This window comes from Homo sapiens, chromosome 5 (assembly GCF_000001405.40).
Source record: "Homo sapiens chromosome 5, GRCh38.p14 Primary Assembly".
Taxonomy (NCBI): domain Eukaryota; kingdom Metazoa; phylum Chordata; class Mammalia; order Primates; family Hominidae; genus Homo; species Homo sapiens.
In genome coordinates this window covers 149,684,440-149,701,524 of record NC_000005.10, presented here as the reverse complement: position 1 = coordinate 149,701,524, position 17,085 = coordinate 149,684,440, and the positions used below count along the sequence as shown (strand labels likewise).

General features: G+C 43.0%; 1 non-coding gene across 1 annotated transcript; it reads left to right on the top strand.

Annotated features, from left to right (window-relative positions):
• Nucleotides 1–5,565: 5,565 nt before the first annotated feature.
• LOC124901221 (small nucleolar RNA U3) lies at nt 5,566–5,777 on the top strand. The gene has a single exon (XR_007059180.1). It is a non-coding gene; the product is annotated as a small nucleolar RNA U3 (small nucleolar RNA).
• The last annotated feature ends 11,308 nt before the right edge of the window (nt 5,778–17,085 follow it).

Genomic DNA, 17,085 nt, shown 5'->3' with positions numbered 1-17,085 from the left:
GTTTTTATTTAAAAAAAAAAAAGATCATTGATGTATGGACTAATCACAATATTAAGCAATGATAACAAAAATGACTCTGATATTTATTTTTAAAGACTTCAAAGAAATACTCCAAAATACTAGAGATCCTCTCAAGGTACTGGGTGTATGTGTTTTGTGACATTTTTGGTAGCAGAGAGGGAGGGGTTGTTTCTACTTTTTGCTACTTTTCACAGTGATATATTTTCATAATTCAGGGGAGAAAATGAACTTATGGGGTTTTTAAAAACACAAATTAAAAATAAGATGGTTCTTAAATGGATATATTTCAGGTAATAGGGTAGCTACTGGAGACAGTAAGAACCTTGCTGGAGCTGCCCCCAGCAGACCTTGGAAATGTTTCTGACTGGCCCACTTTAATCTGACTTAGCATCACCTCAGACGTGCGGGGACAGCAGAGAAGAGAAGCCAGGATGGGGAAAGGCTCAGAAAACGAGTCCCAGGAGAAAAGCTCCAAACTCTTAGTCCCACATCATGTGAGTGGCCCCAGGGGGGTTTTCCAATGGCATGTCTGGGCCCAAGGCAGATGGGAGAGCCTGTGTCTGCCTCTGTCCTCTGCAGAGCGGAGATGGGCAGATGAACATCAATGTCCCTCCAGTGACGGCCACACCAGTGGGGACAGGGAGGGTAGTCCAGGGGCTGGCCCACTTCTCAATCTCCATCAGGTTCCCCCAGCACCTGCTGCCCCCTTCTTCAAAGTAATGTTTGTTCAATCTAACATAAAAGCATGAAGAAAAAATTCTTTTAAAACTTTGTCTACCATACGCTATCAAAGTTGGCTTATAGGGCAAACATAGCTTCAAAACAGCCCCCATGCCCCTCCTTGAAAAATATCCAGAAGCACCCTGCCCCCCATCCCGTCCTAGTTCTCCACAGGGAGTCCTGAGGGTTGGTGGCTTGGCAGTCTGTGCAGGCCACGTGAAGACAGCTGGACTGGCAGGGCCCAGGGTCTGGGCCAAGGAGGCTGCAGAGATCAGGGCCAGAGGCAAAGGGTCCAGGGCTCCATGGAGGTCAAGGTCAGGCCAATGCGGCTTCACCAGCTGCCTAAAACCCATGGCTTTATGTTTAAAGACTCAGCTAATTACAGACATTTTCCAACATGAAATAATAGATAGCACTGTAGAAAATTTAGGGGAAAGGAAACCAACAGAGAAGTTTTTTTTAAAAAAAGACCATTTTTCTGATACCTTTATTTCATTTTAAAATACATTTTATTATAAATATATTTTCCTTTTGAAAGAAAACTGGAAGGAGGAGTGTTCTGTTTTTACTTTAAACATTTCTGTCTTACTTGAGTGTGTTAAGTAATATCTGCCTTTTATGCACTGTTAAATAATATCTGTTGTTATAAAAATTTGGTAAATACAAAAATAGGGCGGAAACCAAACAAATTTTTTGTTTTGGAAATTTTGTTTTTGTGACATAAAGAAAGTGCTCAGAGGAAAAAAATATCTGTCTTTGAAAGTACATGCATACAGCTGGGCGCAGTGGCTCACGCCTGTAATACCAGCACTTTGGGAGGCTGAGGCGGGCAGATTGCTTGAGCTCAGGAGTTTGAGACCAGCCTGGGCAACATGGTGAAACCCCATCTTTACTAAAAATACAAAAATTAGCCTGGTGCGGTGGCATGCGCCTGTAATCCCATCTACTCTGGAGGCTGAGGCAGGAGATTTGCTTGAACCTGGGAGGCGGAGGTTGCAGTGAGCCAAGATTGTGCCACTGCACTCCAGCCTGGGCAACAGAGGCGACTCCATCAGAAAAAAAAAAAAAAAAAAGTATATACATACTACCAAATACAAAAGATACAGAGATGGAGAGATGGGTAGATGGGTATATACAGTGAAATGTCTGTTTCCTTCTCTTTCTCTCCTGTCTAATCACCAGTTGCCCTCCCTGGGGAAAACCATTCTTGCTGTTTTTCAGCCATTTTGGTAGAGGGTATCTTTACATTTGCAAATGCATACGCATACACATTTTTTGGGATGGAGAGACAGGATCCTGTTCTATCACCCAGGCTGGAGTGCAGTGGCATGATCCTGACTTACTGCAGCCTAGACCTCCTGAGTTCAAATGATCCTCCTGCCTCTTCCCTGCAAGCAGCTAGGACTATAGGAATGCACCACCACACACTGCTAATTCTGTATTTTTATTTTTTGTAGAGGCAGGATCTTGCTATGTAGCCCAGGCTGGTTTAGAACTCCTATCCTCAAGCAATCCTCTTTCCTTGGCCTCCCAAAGTGTTAAGATTTCAGGCGTGAGCGACCAAGCCTGGCCGGCATGCACTCTTTAGTAATTACGACTGTATGTGCAGGAGCGTGTGTGTGTATGTGTTTGAGTGTATAATTACACTAATTGTCACACTCTGTCCTAAATCTTGCTCTTTATACAATATATCTTAGGGATCTTCCCATAGGATATGTAAAGAGTTCTGTTGGTTGCTGACCTCAATCCTATTAACCTAAAAGGTCCTTCTTGGTGTCTAACCAGAAACCCATACAACCCCCAGCCTGACACTAGCAAGGCCTGCACCTCCAAAGTAATGAGAGAGATGAGGGAGTTGTGGGGGGTGGGTTCAAGGACTCCCTTTTTTTCTTCCTTCCGCTCTCTCCTTCCCTCTCCTTCCTTCCCTCCCTCCCTTCCTTCCTCCCTCCTTTCCTTCCTTCCTTCCGTCTTTTCTTCCTCCCTTCCGTCTTGCTTCTTGCCTTCTAAAGTGAAAACAGTTCACTATGGCTTTTATTCACTCTGATTACTAATGCAAAACATGCTTCTCATAAAGTATTCATATAGTATAAAAAGAAAAATAGGAGAGTGAAAGTCACTCCTACTGTTATCCAGAAATAATCACTGTTAACATTTTATTGTTCATCCTTCCAATTATTTTTCTGGAATACCCACAACAATTTTTCACCATTTTAACCATTTCAACCATTTCGAAGTGTACAGTTCAGTGGCATTTAGTGCATTCTCAATGCTGAACAATCATCACCACTATATAATTTCAGAATAATTTCATCACCCCAGATGGAAATCCCACATCCACTGAAGAGTCACTCTCCATTCCCCTCTCCCGACAGCCCCTGGCAACCACGAATCTGCTTTCTAGCTCCATGGATCTGCCTATGCTGGGTATTTCACATCAGTGGAACCATACAATATGTGATCTTTTGTGTCTCACTTCTTTCACTTAGCATAATTTTTTTTTTTAATGGGGACAGAGTCTCGCTCTGTTGCCCAGGCTGGAGCGCAGTGGCGTGATCTAGACTCACTGCAACCTCCGCCTCCCGGATTCAAATGATTTCTCCTGCCTCAGCCTTCTAAGTAGCTGGGACTACAGGCATGCACCACCAAGCCTGGATAATTTTCATATTTTTAGTAGAGATGGGGTTTCACCACATCAGCAAGGCTGGTCTCCAAATCCTGACCTCAAGCGATCCTCCCACCTTGGCCTCCAAAAGTGCTGGGATTGCAGATGTGAGCCAACACACTCAGCCAAGCATAATGTTTTCAAGGTTTTTAAAAAAATTTTTTTTCTTTTTCTTTTTTTTTTTTTTTTTAGAGACAGGGTCTCTCTCTGTCTCTGTCACTCAGGCTGGAGTGCAGTGAAATAATCATAGCTCACTGCAGCCTCAACCTCTTTGGCTTAAGTGATCCTCCCACCTCAGCCTCCAAAATAGCTGGGACTACAGGTGCAAGCCCAACTAATTAAAAAGAAATTGTAAAGACAGAATCTCACTATGTTGCCCAGGTTGGTCTTGAACTCTTGGCCTCAAGTGATTCACCCCCCACCCTCAGCCTCCCAAAGTGTTGGGATTATAGGTGTGAGCCACCAGGTCCAGTCTGTTTTCAAGGTTCATCCATGCTGTAGCATGCATCACTACTTCGTTCCTTTTTATAGCCAAATAACATTCCATCGCATGGATATGCCATATTTTGTTTATCTATTCATTAGTTGAGGGACATTTGGGCTATTTCCACCTTTTGTCTGTTGTGAATAGTGCTGCTATGAACATGTAAGTTTTTATTTGAATACCTGTTTTCAGTTCTTTTGACTATATACTTAAGAGTGGGACTGCTACATCAAATGGTCATTCTGTCTTTAACTTATTGAAGAAACACCAAACCGATTCCCATAGTGGCTACATTTCCACCAGCAATGTATGAGGGTTCCAATTTCTCTACATCCATACCAAAACTTGTCATATTCCTTCTGTTTGTTTTGTTTTGTTTTATTATAACCAACCTAGTGGGTATGAAATGCTATCTCATACCTACATTTTTGTGGTTTTGAATTGCATTTCCCTAATGACTAATGATGTTAAACATCTTTTCACGTGCTTGTTGACCATTTGTATATCTTCCTTGGAGAGATATCTATTCAAGGCCTTTGCCCATCTTTTTTACACTCGGGGGTACATGTACAGGTTTTCTACGTAGGTATATTGTGTGATGCTGAAGTTTGGGCTTCTATTGATCCCATCAACCAAATAGTGAACACAGTACCCAATAGGTAGTTTTTCAGCCCTTGCCCTCCCACCCCTCCTCCCCGCTTTTGGAGCCCCCAGTGTCTATTGTTCCCATCTTTGTGTCCGTGTGTACCCCATGTTTAGCTGCCACGTACAAGTGAGAACATGTGGCATTTGGTCTTCTGTTTCTGTGTTAATTTACTTAGGATAATAGCCTTCAGCTGCATCCATGTTGCTGCAAAGGACATGATTTTGTTCTTTTTCATGCCTTTGTCCATTTTAAAAATTGAGTTGTTTGTGTTTTTCTTGTTGAGTTGTACAAGTTCTTTCTATATTCTGGATACAAGATTCTTGTCAAATATATGATTTGCAAATATATTCTTCCATTCTGTGGGTTTCCTTTTGCATTCTTGATAGCGTTCTTTCATGCACAGAAGTTTTTTATTCTGATGAAGCCCCCAACTTATTTTTCATTTGTTCCTTTTGTTTTTGGTCTAAGAAACTGTTGCCAAACCCAAGGTTATAAAGCTGTTCTTTTCTTAGACTTTTATGGCTTTAGCTCTTATATTTAGAATTTTATTCATTTTGTGTTAATTTTTGTACATGATGTGTGGTAACGTCTAACTTTGTTCTTTTGCATGTGGATAATCAGTTGGCCTGGCACCATTTGTTGAAGAAACCCTTCTTTTCCCCCATTGAATGGTCTTGGCACCCTTGTTGAAAATCAATTGACCATAGTTGCATACGTTTATTTCTGGATTGTCAATTCTATTCCATTGATCTATATGCATGACTATCCTTATGTTGGTAGTACATGATTTTGATTACTGTAGCTTTGTAGTAAGTTTTGAAATTGGCAAATGTGAGTCTTAACACCTTGTTCTTCTTTTTGCAAGATTGTTTTGACTATTTGGGATCCCTTGCAATTCTATGTACATTTCAGAGTCAGCTTTTCTACTTCAGCAAAACGGAATTTGTGGGATTTGGGGACTTTGATAGGGATTGCATTGAATCTGCATATTGCTTTGGGGAATATTGTTGTCTTAACAAAATCAAGTCTTCTAAGACTCTACTCTCAGGGCTCATTTCTGTCATTCAATACTAGAGAAGTTTCTCTGAATGTTTAGAGCACTGGAAACCAAACGGAGGAGGCGGGCATTCTTTCCTGAGCATGCAGCCAGCTCATAGTGTTGTTTTGTTGCAGCTGCCGCTTGCCATTGATGATCCTTCTTCTCTTCCTTCAGGGGAGTAAGGAGACGACGCGGTCTTAGTGGTTCCCATAAAAATAAACAAATAAATTAATGATAGAAATTAAAATTTAATTTAAAAAGTGAGTCTTCTAACCCATAAGCAAAGAATGTCTGTATATTTAGGTCTTCTTTCATCTCTTTTGGCAGTGTTTTAAAGTTTCCGTAAAGAAGTCTTACACCTTCTTGGGTAAATTTATTCTTACGTATTCTGCTCTTTTTGGTACTATCCCACACAATTTTTTGAACCAATTTTTTTAACTTATCATATCATGAACATCTTTCCATGTTAATGGTATAAAGGGCAAAAATTATTTTATGGCACTTTATAGATATACTGCAATTTTTTATTTTTTATTTGAGACAGGGTCTTACTATGTTGCCCAGGCTGAACCCCAATTCCTGGGCTCGAGGGATCTTCCTGCCATATCCGGGACTATAGACATGTGCTACCAGTCCAGCTAGACTACAATTTGCTTCAACAATCCCTTATTATTGACTGTCTTGGTTATTTCAAATTTTTAATTGTCGTAAATAAGGATTCATTGAGTTTCTTTACAATGTACATCTTTGTACACTTATCCAATTATTTCCTTTGGATAACCTCCCAGAAATGAATGTATTAGGTCAAAGGAGAGGAATACTTGTAAAGCTTTAATGAATGTTGCCAAATTTTCCTCCAAAAATATCAGACCAACACCCACTCTGAATAGCAGTGGATGGGGTTCTCTTCCTCATGCGGGATCCAGGTTGCTTTTACCCAATGTCTCTTCCAGGAGGAGAAAACAGGAGCCCCGACATGCTCCTTCACTGGGCAGAAACTTTGAACAAGACAGTGACCGTCCCAATCAATACAGACATCTTCCTCTTAGGCCTAAAAGCGCCCTTTATTGGAATTTTTATTGCAAAGACAAATTGTCTGGATTTTTTTTGTCTTTATTTGTCTTTTTCTCCCTCTAGTCTGCAAGCTGCATGTGGCCAAAGACTGTATCTGGCTTGTTCACTGTGTATGTCGAATGTCTTGTAAAGTGCCTGGCATAAGAAATTTCTCAGAAGATGTGTGTTATCTTTAAGCTGAGGGACAAGACAGCTTACAAGCTAAAATTCCATGAGGGAAGAAATAGCATCTATCCTTCCCTTTTGTGTCTCCAGTGCTAGGACAGTCTCTGGCACACAGTAGGCTCAGTAAGTATTTGTTGAATGAATAGAAAAAAGTGACTGGCTCCAGAAAGTCAATGGTAGTAGCAGATCTGAAGGCTCCTAGTTCAGTGCTCTTTCTGCCTACCGCACCCTCTTTCTCACTTTTATTCTAATGTTTGCACTGCATTTCTGTGTTTATGGTCCCTTGGTTTCTCTCCTTCAGCAAAACAGTCACATATATGCTGCCAAACAGAGACACACAGGAGATTACCTGGCAGCAGCTCCAAGTCCCGGCTAACACCCTCAAGCGATTTTCCAATGGCGAGGACCAGGAGGGGAATTTCCCCATGCATGCCCAGCTCTGACGCATCTGTGCCCCCTTGACTTGGATGCTATTCTGTGGGCTGGAGTCAGCATGAAAGCTATTTTTGACTAAGTGGCTACCTAATCTTACATAACCCTGAGCGATTCAGGCCAAGGTCATTCGGCTTAGTGCATGAAAGACACTTCAGAGACCAGTGATTCCCCTTCCCCAGAGTCCCTCCAGAGAAGCAGAGCTGGGAAAGTCATTTCCATGATCATGGCTCTGGGCCTCCACAGCAAAGCCCAGCTAGGACTTTCTGAGCACAGCCCTGCCTCTGCAACTTCTAAGAGAATTCCCCAAGTGTCTCATTCCCCAATATCCCTGAAACACGGGTAGAATATGAACCCAGGAAGCAGGGAGTGTGGACACCTACCTCTGCTACACACACACCCAGTCCTGCTTCCTCCTTTAATGTGGAGATGCAGGAGCTGAAGATACCTGAGAGGGCCCATGCATGAAGAAGACGTGTGTCTCTCCTATGAAAGAAGTGATAAGCCCACATTTTCATCTCAATTTTGTTTTATTGGAAAGGAGACAGAATAGCATTCAAGGCCCTTTGGACTCTAATCTCAAATGCCTTTGCTATTTCATCAGCAAGCCCTTAGCCAAAAGCCTGACATATGCTAGATGTTCACTACCTGCTCAGTTAATGAAATTCATTGTCTGCTCCCTCGTAACTCCTGCCACACCTGACCACCAACTCCAGGTCCTGCTGGTAAGCTCTCTGCACCTTTGCATGTGCTGTCTTCCCCATCTGATAAGCCTTCACAGCATGCTGTACATTTGCAGGCCAGCTCAAAGCCCAACGCCTCAAGACCACCTTTACAGAGCCCTCTAAACAGAACCAGTTGTCCTCTGGTCTATATTTCTCTAGCACATTGCTCACACTTCTGTTTTGAGCTTCTTGTAACATAACTGGTTATGTACTCATCAAAATCTATGTTCCACCAGACTGTGAGCTCCTTGGAGGCAGGGTCTAGCCTTTAGTGGTCATTGTATCTCCAGCACATTTTGCTGCCTGGCACTTACTGGGGCCCCTGTCAACATCCATTTGTTGGATGGATGGATGTCTGGAGACACTAATGAGGTCTGCAGTTCACAAAATCACTTGCATTTCAAATCCAGCATGGGCTGGCTGAAGGAGAGAGACGTGAGGAGAACTGCTTGAGTGGTTGTTCCACATACTCATGGAGTCAATATAGCTTTTCTCTCTTAAAAAATTTTTGAGCTAGGCATGGTGGCTCATGCCTGTAATCCTAGCACTTTGGGAGGCCAAGGCAGCTGGTTCACCTGAGGTCAGGACCAGCCTGACCAACATGGCAAAACCCCATCTCTACTAAAAATACAAAAATTAGCCAGGTGTGGTAGCGGGCACCTGTAATCCCAGCTACTCAGGAGGCTGAGGCAGGAGAATCACTTGAACCGGAGGCAGAGGTTGCAGTGAGCTGAGATCACACCATTGCACTCCAGCCTGGGCAACAAGAGTGAAACTCCATCTCAAAAAAAAAAAAATTGTTTTGATCTCACAAATAGTTGGTGTTCATCATAGAAAACACAGCACAGCTGCAAGAAAACAACTCTGAACATTTTAGAATATCTTTTCAGACTTTATTTCCTCTATGCACTGCCCTTCCGCCATTTCTTTACAGAAATGAGACGTTGCTTTGGATGAGCAGGGTGGGGCTCAGCCTGTTCAGGGAATGAAGAAGCCCGCCTGAGCTGAGGCTTGAAGGATGCATACTGGTAAGTACAATGAAGAGTGAACAGTATCTCAGTAACAAAACTGGTATGTCATTTTGTTAACCATCTCACTCAAAAATAGGTGGAGGATAACCCAGATTATCAGCCCTGTACCCTTTCCCAGAACTACTCTTCCTGCCTTCTCTGTTTAGTTCAAGAACTCCCATGTTAGGTCAAAGAGACCCTGCGCCCTGGTCTTAGTTGTTTGGTCCAGAGGGAGGTCTTGACTCAAGCTGGGCCAATCACAGTGCCTGGCTACCCTGTCCACAGTTGACTGGTTCAGACTTGGGTAATTGAACTAAGGTGGCCAGTCTATTCCTTGCTTGGGAGTTCTGGATTGAGGGCTAGAGACAGCTTCAGGTATATACTTTCCTATGTCTCAAAATGTATTCCCCACTATCTGGTCTGCAATGAGAAAATGAGGCTGACACACAGGGAGAGGCAAACACAGCAGATGGAGAGAAGGTCTTGGAACTGCCTGAGCCCCAGACCCCAGGTGTTCTTTGGCCCTGGCCACACTGTGGTCCTTCCGAACTGTGTTGTCCAACTCTCCTCTGGATTACATGAGCTAACAACAAATCCTCCCTTGTGCTTTTCCCATTTTGAGGTGGATTTCTGTCACTTGCCACTGAACAGCTTCTGACCCACACACACCGTGTGTCATGGTGGTGACTCCAGGTCGGTAAAGTACACGCACAACATCACATTTAATGGTGGCAGGGTATTGTCTGTGTCTCCACTTTCAACCAGTCTCTCATTGTTGCATATCTTGTTTTTTTCCAATGTTTCGCTGTGATGAGCAATGCTGTGGGAAACAGCCTCATAAATTCATCTCTGCTCCCATGCATTATTTTATCAGAGTGAATTCTTAGAGGTGAAATTCCTGCAGCAAAGGATGTTCATATTTTTAAGGTTTGTGACATGGTTTTTAACGATGCCCTGTGGCTATTCTTTTTTCAGCGTCGCTGCCCACACAATCACTGGACACCTTCTTGGGATTAGGTTATTTCAGACTGAATTGGCCTTAGTGAGTCTGACCCTCATTGGTCCTTTGGTGGGAGGAGGGGTGTCCAGATTTTGTCTCCTGTCTTTTTTTTTTTTTTTTGAGACAGAGTCTCACTCTCACCCAGGCTGAAGTGCAGTGGTGCGATCTTGGCTCACTGCAACCTCCACCTCCAAGATTCAAGCAATTCTCGTTCCTTAGCCTCCTGAGTAACTGAGATTACAGGTGCCTGCCACCATCCCGGCCAGCTAATTTTTGAATTTTTTAGTAGAGACAGGGGTTTCACTATGTTGGCCAAGCTGGTCTTGACCTCCTGACCTCAGGTGATTTACCCGCCTTGGCCTCCCAAAGTGCTGGGATTACAGGGGTGGGCCACAGCGCCCAGCCCCCAGGTTTTGGTTCTAATCTGCCTAAAAATTGTGCCCAAGGATTCTGTTGAAAAAGTAATTGTGGAGTCAGTTATGGTCATGAGCATTTTCAGGGGATTTTGCAAATCTACAGACAAGCCCCTGAGTGCAGAGTGAACGCTCAGTCTCACTGGGGCCTGGGGATGTGGACAAAGGGATGCCCAGCTTCAAGGTTATCAGTTTAGCCCAGAGGGCAAGAAAAGCACATGGCTGTGAGGACGTGTTTGGTACCCAACGCTAGGGAGCAGGACACAGGCTGACTGGGGGGGACAAGGCAGACACAGTCCCCACTGCCCTGGAGCTCACAGTCTGATGGGGAAGACAGATGCTGAAAGAGGAGTAGGGCTCAGATCAAGGGCAGTGCTGGGTGACCTGAGTGAGTAGGGCAGGGCTCAGGCTGTTCAGGGAATGCAGAAGCCTTCCTGACGAAAATGGTTTTGACCTGAGGCTTGAAGGATGCATACAGGTAAGTACAAAGAAGACTGACCAGGTATCCCAGGCACAGAAAAAAGCCCGCAAAAGGCCTGGAGATTAGGAAGAATGCAGCGCACTCAATAGACAGAAAGAAAGCCCTGCATGGCTTGAACAGAAAGAACCCATAAAAAGAGTAAAAGATGAGGCTGCAGAGATGCAAAGCCTCCTCATGGCCAGGACTAAGGATTCTTTCCTGGGGACAATGGGGAGCCTTGGAAGAGGTAAGCAGGGGAGAAGTGTGATCCATATTCCTCAGGGGGAGGCAGGGACAGGGACTGAATTAGAAGGTAATGGAGCCCACATCTCCAGCAATTGTGCCTTGTCCCCAGGGTCCCAAGGCTGTCGGAAAGCATCTCTGCCCACTACATTTGGGTCTTAGACTGCTTGGCTCAGCCCCACTGCAGTGAGAGCCAAACTCCCAGAACCCCAATCAGCCTTCTCATCACGGCTGATGCCCTCCACGGGTTAGCTCAGGCTCCCATCCCAGGCCTGCTCTCTTTTAATGGATAAATATAGCGTGTTCCAGTAACAGCACACACATGAATATCTCTCTAATTTCTACATAAAGACATCACATTCCCCTCATCCCACCCACACTTCAAAGACAAGAATCTTTGTCATGAAATTAAATAGAATGAGATAATGGAGCTGAAAGTGCTTTGTAAAAGAAAAAATTGCCAGAATGGTGGCAACTTTTTTTCAAACTTTATTTTTCTCTTAAGCAGCAGAATCTTTTTTTGTTTTTTTTAAATGAAGTCTCACCAGACACCTATCTGCTCCCGTGATGTTGCCTTTTGGAGACATTTCAAAGTTTACATGTCCAAAATGAAGGTCTTGGGTTCTGCCATCCTCTTCAAAGCTGCTCCTCGCCCACCTTCTCCATCTTAGTTCTGACACCTCCCAGGTGCTCATGCCAGAAGTGGAGAGGCACTGCTGATGCCCTCACCAGCTTTTCTCCAAAACATGTCCCTGCTCCGTCCTCAGGTCTCCCTGGCCCCTACCATCCCTCTAGCCAGCCATCATTCACCTGAATTTTTCAACAGCCCATACCTCGTCTCTCCAAGACTGCATCTTCCACCTTTCTAGTTCAACACTCACATACTGGCCAGAAAGGAACATACAGAGAGACTCGTGCACAAATCATAAATGTTCAGCTTGATGGGTTTGTCTAAATGGAACACACCCACGTAATCAGCACCCAAATGAAGAACAGAATATTACCAGAAGCCCGCCCCATGCCCCTTCCTTGTCACTTCCATATCTCCCCCGGGGCTACCATTATCCTGACTTCTAACACTGTAGATTAGTTTCACCTCTATTTTTGAACTTTATATACATGGATTCATATCATGTATACTGTTTTATGTCTGCCTTAACTCATTTACCACTGTGAGATCCATCTATATAATCGTGTATAGTTATAATTTATTCATTTTCATTGCTGCATAGTGTTTCACTGTGTGACTATATCATCATTTATTCAGTCAAGCACTGAGAAGCATTTGAGGGGTTTGTGGATTGGGGCTATTACAAAGGGGGCAGTTGTTAAGATTCTGGTCTTTGGCGCACATAAGTGTGCATTTTTGTTGGGTACCTACCTGCCTGGGAGTAGAATTGCCGTAATGTACGCACATATTCACAAAGTGATATTTTTAAAGCACAGCCAGATTCCAGCATTCTCTTTCTGAAACCCTCCATGGCTTCCTGCTGCATTTATAATAAAGTTCAAAGTTTCACCTACGCCCACAAGGGGCTTGTATGCCCTGGCATCTACTGCCCTCGCACTTACTGCCTGCCTGCCATATTGACCTTCTTTCCATTCTTGGAGACTGCCAAGCTCATTCTCCGCCAGAGAGCCCACCCATTTGATATGCTGCAGTTTCAAACTGGCCTTCCCTACTCATCCTTTATGTCTCAGCTCAAACAGAATGTTGTTAGAAAGGCCTCTCCTGATTCCCCAGCTTGAAATCACAATTGGTGTGATTATCTCTCATTACACAGTGCACAATGACACCCACAATTTGCAATTGTCTGATTGTCAATCACTGCCTCACCGACTAGACTGTAAGCATCAAGAAATGGAGACTGTCAGATTCTCTGCTGTCTCCTCAGCACTTAGCACTGGGCTGGAATATAGTAGGTGCTCAATAAATATCAATGTGGTAAGGAGAGAGGACAAGATAACAACCAAGGTCTTAAAGGCATGCAGAAACCAGGGTGTAAATCTTAGCTTCATCACTCACTACCTTTGTCCCCTTAGGCAAGTTACCTAGGCTTTCTGGGCCTAAGTTTCCTCCTCTGTAAAATAAGAATAATCCTGCTGGCCTCTCAGGCAGAGAGGTGGCTGTGAGGACTGACTGAGAACATATATATGTATATTGCCTAGCACAGTGTCGAGCACATGGTAAGTGCTAATTAAGAGGTGGCTTTCCATGGATCAACTCACTGGAGGCTCACCACAATTCTAGGGGGAGGCACTATTCTCAATCCCCATTTTATAGACTGAGAAACTAAGAAACTAAGCCCAGAAAGGTTAGGTGCCTTGCCCAAGAATTCTGGCTCCAGAGCCCAGGTTCTCCTCCACTAAAGTATTAGCGGTAGCATGTAAAGGATCAATAAAAAATAGAGGAAGGGGAAATGGTGAGTTCCTGACAGCCAGCAGCTCCATTCACCCCCACCCTCTTGACATCCATTCATCCCCATGAAACCCTAAGTTTAGGAAACACAGTATGAAAACCACCGGGTTACACAAACATCCGTGGTTATTAATAGCCATAAAGGAAAAAATAGAGAGATCTGATTGCATAAAAATTTTAAACTTCTGTTTAACAGAAGACACCACAAACAAGGTCAAAAGATAAATGAGAGTCCAGGATAAAACATTAAGACTTCATATGACAAAGGCTTACTACCCCGGCATGAACACACTCCTACAAATTAACTGGGGGGAAAAATGAATAACCCGACGGAAAACTTGGCAAAGAATGTGAACAGTATACAGAAGAGGAAATGAAAATGGCCAATAAGCATATGTATAAGTAGGGAAATAAAAATTAAATAATGAGTTCCCATATGTCTTCTAATATTGGCAGAAACAAAAAGATTGGTAACGTTTATAGCTGATGGCAGAGTAAGAAAACCAACTCTATCATATCCATCGTTGGTTGTAAAAAATTACAGCCTTGTAGAAAAATTTTTCCAAAATATTATGACAAAAAATATGTGACAACTTTCAGAAATGAAAGTAATAACACATAAGCTCCCTAGCTAGCTAGATACAAGAATATTCATTGCAACATCTTTGTAACAACAAGAAACTAGAAACATCCTGCTCCCATCAATACAATTGCACATTATGCAACTCTTTTTTTTTGAGACAGAGTCTCGCTCTGTCACCCAGGCTGGAGTGCAGTGGCGGAATCTCCACTCACTGCAAGCTCCACCTCCCAGGTTCACGCCATTCTCCTGCCTCAGCCTCCCAAGTAGTTGGGACTACAGGCGCCCACCACAACGCCCGGCTAATTTTTTGTATTTTTAGTAGAGACGGGATTTCATCGTGTTAGCCAGGATGGTCTTGATCTCCTGACCTTGTGATCCACCCGCCTCGGCCTCCCAAAGTGCTGGGATTACAAGCGTGAGCCACCGTGCCCCGCCATTATGTAACTCTTAAAACAAATGAAGTAGCTCCATGTGTATCACCTTAAAATTATCTCCAAAATGTGTGGAGTGAAAGAAAGATGTTAAAGAATAGTGTCGGCCAGGTGCAGTGGCTCACTCCTGTCATCCCAACATTTTGGGAGGCCAAGCAGGGAGGATCCCTTGAGCCCAGCAGTTCGAGACAAGCCTGGGCAACAAAGTGAGACCTTGCCTCTGAAAAAAAATCGTTTAAATTAGAAAAAATTAGCTGGTCATGGTGGTGGCGTGCCTTTGTAGTCTTAGCTACTTGGGAGGCTGAGGTGAGGATCACCTGAGCTCGGGAGATAGAGGCTGCAGCGAGTTCTGATTGTGCCATTGCACTCCAGCCCAGACAACAGAGAGAGGTCTTGTCTCAAAAAACAAAAAACAAACAGAAAAGAATAATGTCTATGGTTTGATACCATTTTTATAGAAAACAGACAATAAATATACCCAAATGACACTGAATACTTTATCAAATAAAAGTAGGAAAATCAAATTTCTAATTACAATGTGTCAAAGGAGTTGGATTGGAAGGTGTTAGTTTTGCTTCAGATACATCTTTAAGTTTGAATTGTTGCAATAAGCATGTATTATATTCCAATATTAATAAGCATTGCTCATTAGTAATGACTTAATAAATGTTGCCTCTCCATTTAGCCTTACAAAACCTTTTCTGCATTAAGATTGACCTTGCCTTAGTTCCTACAAAGAAGCTGCTGGTTGGAGAGGTGTTAATTGTCTTCTAAACAACTTCATCTGATTAACCTCTTGGCTTGCTCCGGTGCCAGCCTCCCAGGGAAAGAAATCTTATATCATTATTACTGTTAAAAGAAATATAAGCTCTGAATATGCAATACATGCCCAGGGTAGCAAGATGAATAAAAGGTTATATAGTGAAAAGTGAGTCTCATTCTCATCCTAATATTGTAGCCAATATCCTAGTCCAGCTCTACCCTGAGAAGGCAATCAGTACACCAACTTCTTTTGTATCCTTCCAGAGATAGACTATGCATATATTAGAATAGACATGTATTACAATATTCTATTTTTTAAACACAAATGTCGTACATAATGTTTATATACACAAACAAATATGTTCATATGGAAGATGCCTTTCCATTCTTTCCAGCTAGGACCTGATTATTTCCTAGGTGGCAGCTTCTTCCTGCTCAAGAAGCCAAATTTCCCCAACTGAGGCAACTTATCCATCCATTCATCTATTCATTTATCCATCCACTAACAGCACTAGCAAATATTTGCTGACCACTCACTCTGTGCCAGGCACAGAAGCTGGAGATAAAGAGGTGAAAGATAAGGTCCTTGCTCTCACTCAGCTGACCTTAAGTGGGGAAGGAAGAAATTATGTAGAAGAACACAAGTTGTAGAAGAAAACTAACAAATTGCAGGTAATGAAAAGAGCCATGGAGAGACTCATTCTCAGTTAAGAAGGGAAAGAAAGAGGGGAAGAGGGGAGAGGTGAAAACGGAGGGGAGGGGAAGAGAGGGCCTATTTTAGATGGGGTAGCCAGGGACGATCTCCCTGTGGAGGTGACATTTAAGCTGAGACCCAAATGACAAGAAGCAGCAAATGTTCCTTTCCCTGCTGGCTTTCCAGTAAGGGTTTCTATGGGCAGGGTGTCAACCTGATTCTAGTGGTGACAAGGGTGGGCTCTGACGTGCAGTTGAATCCCAGCTCTGCCAGTGAATGCTGTGTGAGTCCCAGGAAAATTATTAAGCTCTCTGTGCCTCAGTTTCCTCATCTGTATTATGAGGTTATATAAGAATAGCATTAACAATATAGGATTGTAGTAAAGATTAAATAATTATGCAATGTGGGCTGGCACAAAGAAAGTGATCAAAAATGATAATATGAGGCAAAGAGTTCTTATATGTAACACTAAAAGTATCATCTATGAAATTTAAAAATTGATTAAAATTTTCTTCATCAAAACTAGAAATGTTTGCTCTATGACAAAGACCACTGAGAGTAAGAACAGACAAGTTATAGTCTGGGGAAAAATATTTGCAAATCACATATCTCACGAAAGACTAGCATCCGGAACATAAAAAGAACCCTCAAAACTCAATGTAAGAAATGAAACAACCCAACTAAGAAATGGCCCAAAGACTTGATCAGAGAGCTCACCAGAGAGGATACAAATAAGTACATGATAAGATATTCCACAGCATTAGCCATTAGGGAAAGGTAAAACAAAACCCGGATGAGATACCACTGTGTACCTATCAGAATGGCTTTAAAAAGAAACAAACAAAAAAAAAACCCCAAAAACCCTGACAACAAATGCTGGCAGGATGAAGACTGACCGCAACCCTCATACATTGCTAGTGGGATTGCAGAATGCTGCAGCCTCCCTGAAAACAGTTCGGGAGTTTCTTATAAAGTGAAACCTTTATTTAACATATAATTCAGCCATCTCATTCTTAGGTAATTTCCCTAGAGGAATGAAAACTTACATGCACACCAAAACGTGTACACAAATGTTTATAGCAGCTCTATTCACAATCACCAA